Consider the following 7,062-nt stretch of genomic DNA (forward strand, 5'->3'; position numbering starts at 1 on the left):
GGAGGTCGAGGCAGGCAGATCACGAGGTCAGGAGTTCAAGACCAGCCTGGCCAAGATGGTGAAACCCCGTCTCTACTAAAAATACAAAAATTAGCTGGGCATGGTGGCACTTGCCTATAATCCCAGCTACTCGGGAGGCTAAGGCAGAGAATTGCTTGAACCTGGGAGGCAGAGGTTGCAGTGAGCTGAGATCGCGCCACTGCACTCCAGCCTGAGTGACAGAGCAAGACTCCGTCTCAAAAAAAAAATTAAAAAATTAAAAAATAAAAATAAAATAATAAAATAAATGAGCCGAGCATCAATTAAAGAAAATGCCAGAAGGTTCTCTGAAGAACTTTCCACAATAGAAGTGTATTTTAAGTCCCTGAGCCTTCATCTCATACCTATGGACAGGGGACTCTTTGCACTGGTTCTGGAACGCTCCAGTCCACCATGCCCACGGATTTAGTTAGGAAACCTTCCCAGAAAGAACTTAGTCCATGTCATTTCAAAATGAATTAATTCAACTCAACAGGAACTTTTGTAAGCCTCCAATGTATGCGGTTCTGAACTTTTGTAAGCCTCCAATGTTTCCAGTTCTGAATCTGGAATGCTCATTCAGCCACAAAATAAACATTTATTGAGTACCTACTATGTGCCAGACAAATGCTACTTGCAGGGGTGACAATGATAGAGACGGGCAAAATATTCAATTCTTTGGAGCCATAGACTAATGGGAGAGGCAGACAAGTGACTAGGCAAGTGTAATACATCCTAACAGACACTTTGGGGAACAGACAAGGGGCTGTGGAAGGAGGCAACCTGGAGGGCTTCCTGGAAAAGGCCAAACATGGGCCAAGCGCCGTGGCTCATACCTGTAATCCCAGCACTTTGGGAGGTTGAGGCAGGAAGATAGATCACTTGATCCTGAGAGTTCGAGGCCAGCCTGGGTAATATGGCGAAACCTCATCTCTACAAAAAGTACAAAAGTTAGCTGGGCATGGTGGCATGCAACTGTAGTCCCAGCTACTCGGGAGGCTGAGGTGGGAGGATCACTTGAGCCTGGGAGGTTGAGGCTGCAGTGAGTCACGATTGCACCACTGCACTCCAGCCTGGGTGACAGGGTGAGACCTTGTCTCAAAAAAAAAAAAAAAAAGGCCAAATATGAGCTCAGAGCTCAGTCTCAAGGGATGAACCAGGGCAGATCAGGTTAAAGGGGAAAAGCTGTTGCCAGTACAGAGAATAGAATATACAAAGACCCAGAAACAACAGAGAAGATGGATACATTCAAGGAACTGAGAGTGATCTCAAAAAAAAGATTTGTCATGATCAGAAGAGACAGTCCCAAACCAGCACTCACTTGGGGGCTCTGGGACTGGACTCCCTAAATTGGAATCTCAGCCCCATCATGTGAGCTCAAAGTGCTTCACCTCACTGTGCCTCAGTTTCCATGTCTGTAAAACAGGGTAGAAGTAGAACTTAGAAGAGTTATAAGAATTAAACTAGAGAAGTGAGCATTGTTTATATGTGCTTGTTGCTATGGATCCAAAACTGCCAGTAATAACAATAATAATAATAATAATAGCTTATGCTTTCGTTGAGCCCTTGCTTTGCACCTGGCCAGTGACAGGCACATTATCAGTAACACAAATGCAAGTATCTCATCTAACCCTTGCATCAACGCTCAGAGATGGGTTTTATCAACATCCCCATTTTACAGATGAGGAAAACTGAGGCAGAGCAGTTGCACAACGTCGCAGCTGTTCCTGGTGCTTCACCCAGATCCTCATTGCCAGTAAACCATTCATCATTCAGCCTTTGCTGATCTGTGCCTAATGGCTTATACCAATACTTTCTCCGGAGAATTCCTTAGCTAGCAAAAGCCATTTCACCCAGGGAGTTATGCTCTCACATGCTGAACTGGCCAATGACTAAGCGATATGAGGCGAGAGGAGTCACACAAAAGTCCAGTCCTCCTGCTTCGAGGCAGAATACACTCCAGAGACCCACGTGAGATCAAGGCTAGCCTTAGCCTGAGAGCCCATTCTTGCTTGGCTCTGTCCCCTCCCCCATCATCCTCCTTCCCTCACTTTCCTTCTCCTGAGAACCCCCACCTTGAATAAACCGCACCTACCCAAATCTCATTCTCGGGCTTCCAAGGAACCCAACCCGTCACACAACTTGCAGGGATTCGGACCAGGTTTTCTCCTTCCAAAGGGCCACCAAGCTGCAAGCTGCACCAGGTTCATCTCAAAATCAGAGTCATGGGATCAAAGAACAGTTGCTGATGCCAACCCCTGCCGGCATGAGCCCACCGCTGGGGAAACAAGGCGAACCAGACATCTCAGACTAGAGGAGTGAATCCAAGGAGAGAAGATGACAGGAGGTGTATTTGTTCTCACGCTGCTAATAAAGACCTACCCGAGACTGAGTAATTTACAAAGGAAAGAGGGTGAATGGACTCACAGTTCCACATGGCTGAGGAGGTCTCACAATCATGGTGGAAGGCCAAAGAACAGCGAAGTCACATGCTACACAGCGGCAGGCAAGAGAGCTTGCGCAGCGGAACTCCCATTTATAAAACCATCAGATCTCGTGAGACTTACTCACTACCATGAGAACCGTATGCGGAAACTGCCCCCATGTTTTAATTATCTCCACCTGGCCCTGCCCTTGACACGTGGGGATTATTACAATTCAAGGTGAGTTTGGATGGGGATACAGCCAGACCATATCAGGAGAGGGCACAGCATTAGGACGCAGCCGGTGGTACTGTAATTCGGGTCGGGGGAGGTTGCTGAAATACACTCATAAGGGTAGTTTAAAAAGAGCATCATCAAGGAGACAGGCTTTCCAGCCTTGGCCTTCGGGAGAAAGAAAGAGAGAGTGAAAAAAACATGGGCTTTAGGCCTGACGCGTGGCTCACGCCTGTAATCCCAGCACTTTGGGAGGCCGAGGCGGGCGGATCACGAGGTCAGGAGTTGGAGACCAACCTGGCCAGCATGGTGAAACCTCGTCTATACAAAAAATATAAAAAATTAGCTGGGCATGGTGGCACGTGCCTGTAATCCCAAGCTGCTCGGGAGGCTGAGGCAGGAGAATTGCTTGAACCTGGCAGGCGGAGGTTGCAGTGAGCCAAGATCATTGCGCTGTTGCACACCAACCTGGGCAACATAGCAAGACTCGGTCTCAAACAAACAAAAAAAAGGGGAGGGGCAGGGCTTTAGACAGATCCAAGCTCAACCCTGCAAGTTGCCGGGACTCCGTTTCTTTATCTGTAACATGGAGATCACGATGTTCACCTCGCAGAGTAGATTAAGCAGCTGGCATGTGTGAAGTGCCCAGCACTGTGTCTAGCATATGCTAGGTACTTGGCATGTGTTTCTTTCTTTCCCTCCCTTGTTCAAGGCCACATAGTCCATGACTGGCAGAGCTAGAAGCCTTCTCATTTACCCACAATCAAAGAACTTCTACAAAATAGAAACAGCCCCCTGCCCCCTCCTGCCCCCGCCCACCTGCTACCTTAATAGGTTATTTCCCAGTTATTCAATGCAAGAGACTTAGCCCAGCTAAAGTTATTCAAAATCGACCTTGAGATCAGGAACAAATTGGCTACAGCAGTCAGCGATTGGCAAATGCAATCTAAATGCCCCAGGCGGCATTAGAGCCTTCCACGTTGACAGGAAGAGTCAATGTGCATCTTGGAAAAATCTGAGAAAAAAAAATTAAAGGTCACCGCATTTGTAGGCAGAATGGGTTTTCTTGAGACCATTACAAACAGACTGCCTAAATTGCAAAGATTCCAGGCTTGACAGCTCCCGGAGGACTCCAGATGGAAAGAACACCACCCCCATCTCTTATACATCCAGGCTGCTGTCTGTGGACGTCCGAAGGTTCTCCCACCACCCATGCTATTATTGAAATTCCACAATCAACCTGCAATGCCCCAGTGAACCATTTTGCTGGGATGGGAGGACCAACTTAGGGCCAGCCCTGTGTTCCAAGGGGCTGACCAGGCAGGACAGCCAAGGAGGCACAAGTCTGTAAGATGGGTCCAAACATTTCTGTAGGAAGGGGGTCTTGAGCCAAAGCAGGAAAAATCAAACCCCAACACAAAGTGTAGAGAGAGTCGGATCATAAATCACACACAGACAGGGTCCGAGAAACATGGGCTGGGGACCAGCAGATGACAGGCTAGGATAATTGATCATTAGAACATCTGTGCTGTTTTTGTTGTAAGAATAGTATCAATATTAATAACAACAGCTAATATATATTGAGTGGCTTCTGGAGCCAGGCACTGTGGTAAACTTTTGCACGTATCCTCTCACTTAATCCTCACAGTGCTCTACAAAGTGGGTACTGGATTCATGCCCATTTCACAGAGAACATATCTGAGGCTCAGAGAGGCATCTACAAGGTCAACCAGGTAATCAGGAAAGCCAGATTTCAAGGGCTTGTCCACATCACTCTATGACATGTGGGGAACTCAAGTGTGTGTTGGCTTAACTCAAATAAATAGTACAAGTTAGGCTGGGCACGGTGGCTCATGCCTGTAATCCCAGCACTTTGGGAGGCCAAGGCAGGTGGATCACCTGAGGCCAGGAGTCTGAGACCAGTCTGGCCAAAGTGGCAAAACCCTGTCTCTACTAAAAATACAAAAAATTAGCCAGGTATGGTGGTGGGCATCTGTAATGCGAGCTACTCAGGAGGCTGAGACAGGAGAATTGCTTGAACCCCGGGAGACAGAAATTGCAGTAAGCCAAGATCGTGCCACTGCACTCCATCCAGCCTGGGCAACAAGAGCGAAACTCCGTCTCAAAAAAAAAAAAAAAAAAACCAACCAACAAACAAACAAAAAAACAAATAAATAGTAAAAGTTACTTCTCAACACGAGCCAGTCATTTTTTAAAGTATCTTACATTTTTCTTTTCCTTTACTTATTACTTTTTGAATTGACAAACAAAAATTGTCTATAATTATTGTGTACAACCTGATGTTTTGAAATATGTATACATTGCGGACTGGGGAAATCAAGCTAATTAACAAGTGGTGGGGATGCTTCAAATTTACTCTCTTGGCAATTTGCAAGAATACAAACACTTTTATTAATTATAGTCACTATTTTCCAAACAAGGAAACGAATGCCCAGTAAAAGTACAAAGTAACAGAACTCCTCACTGAAGCTGGGGTCATGGGTGAAAAAGATAAATATAGGCTGGGCGCCGAGGCTTATGCCTGTAATCCCAGCACTTTGGGAGGCAGAGGCAGGTGGATCATCTGAGGTCAGGAGTTCAAGACCAGCCTGGCCAACATGGTGAAACCTCATCTCTAGTAAAAAAAAATACAAAAAAAAAAAAAAAAAGCTGGGTATGGTGGCAGGTGCCTGTAATCCCAGCTACTCGGGAGGCTGAGGCAGGAGAATTGCTTGAACCCAGGAGGCAGAGGTTGCAGTGAGCCGTGAACGTGCCATTGCACTCCAGCCTGGGTGACAAGTGTGAAACTCCATCTCAAAAAAAAAGATAAAATACAAATACATCCATATATAATTAAAATATGATAGTGGTGTGTTTTCCTGTTTAACAAATATTTACTTCCCTCTCATTCCCTTCACCATGGGAAGAACAGAATCCTCTGCCCCGTTAGTGATGGGTTTGTTTTGGCCAATGGAACATGAGCAGAGCTGACGGTGCACCAGTTCCCAGCTTAGACCTTAAAAGGCATTGAGTATTTCTGCTCACTCCTCTCTGGAAGCTGCCAACCTTCACCAGGTACCACTGCTTCTCCAATCTGGACCTCAGAAATAAATGTAAGAATCAGACTTGAACTCAACCCACAGCCTAAAGCAGAATCTCTCCAGCTAAACCACAGACCTATGAGCAAAAAAAAGTGTTTATTTTTATAACCATGAGGGTGGTGTTACTTGTTACACAGCTACAGGTAACTGATACATTTACACGTGAATATGTGCACATACTATACATGTGCATATTATATAGGATACATATGTGTGGCCGTGTTACATGGAAATAGATACATATAAATCCTTAAAATGTATCTCCATATGTGGGATATTTATACATATCTATTTGGGAGATAGTAAATGAGGTAGAATTTGGAGACTGCTAAATTTGCATTCTTGCATTGACACAAGCTGTGCATTTTGGGGGAAATTACTTGACATCTCTGAGCACATTTTCTCCTTTGTAACATGGAGATAAAGATGAAGCTTATCTCATAGGATTACTGTGAGAGTTGAGTAAAATAATACACGTAATGGGCTTAGCAGGGAGCCTAACACACACTCGCTCACACCCATTCATTCAATAAATGTTATTGAGTAACCACATTTGCCAGGCCCTCTTATTGGTGTTTAGAACACAGTTACTAGCTGTGGGGAAAAAAGCAAAAATAAAAAGGATAAGGAGAGCCAGCAGCCCCGGAGGAGGAGGGAGGCAGGCATAGGATGTGCCTGTGCCTGGCACGTAGTAAGTGCTCAATTATTGGTAGCCATTTTTATTCTCAAAGTGATTAACGTGAGAACAAGGGGGTCAGCTGGAGATTTAAAAAACAATAATCAGTCTCTCTGCTCCGCAGCAGACCCCTGAGACCCTTGGCAAACCCCAGCAATAGATCAAGGACCTTCAGTAGGTGAATACAGTCGCAGGAACTGCTATAGCTGACACATAGTCCCTGCAACTCCAGCCAGACGCCAGCACCAGCTGCCACTGGGAGATGTGAGCTTGGCTTCTCCATGAAAGAGAAAGATTCCTGGGGCCTCAGCCATGCCTCAAACCCACTGATAACATCAAACACACATTGCTGGGGGGAGCCGGCCAGGTGCTCAGAAGCTGCAGGGTGACCCTGCATGTAGGTGTCGGGAAGTCAGCAGCGACTCGCGGGTGGAGAAACACCCACGCCTTTGCAAACACTCTTAATGTAATGCACTGCCCTTGAGGCCACCTCCCGTTTTTTTGGCCCTAATTGGCATGTTTTTCTGTCTCCTCAGAAACAGCCACGGGAGACAACATTCCATAGCAGTTAAAAGTGTGGTCTCTGGGTTTGCAACCAGACTATTCCCCA

The 7,062-nt window shown here is 46.1% G+C and overlaps 1 annotated feature.

Annotated features, from left to right (window-relative positions):
• Positions 6,348 to 6,848: an enhancer, noted in NCBI's record as "H3K4me1 hESC enhancer chr16:18310316-18310816 (GRCh37/hg19 assembly coordinates)". NCBI's record gives its function as "activates a minimal SCP1, AML or CMV promoter by ChIP-STARR-seq in naive H9 embryonic stem cells {active_cell/tissue: H9 hESC(naive)}" and the evidence as "EXISTENCE:reporter gene assay evidence [ECO:0000049][PMID:30033119]".

The sequence above is a fragment of the Homo sapiens genome, chromosome 16 (genome assembly GCF_000001405.40).
Source record: "Homo sapiens chromosome 16, GRCh38.p14 Primary Assembly".
NCBI classification, from domain to species: Eukaryota; Metazoa; Chordata; class Mammalia; order Primates; family Hominidae; genus Homo; species Homo sapiens.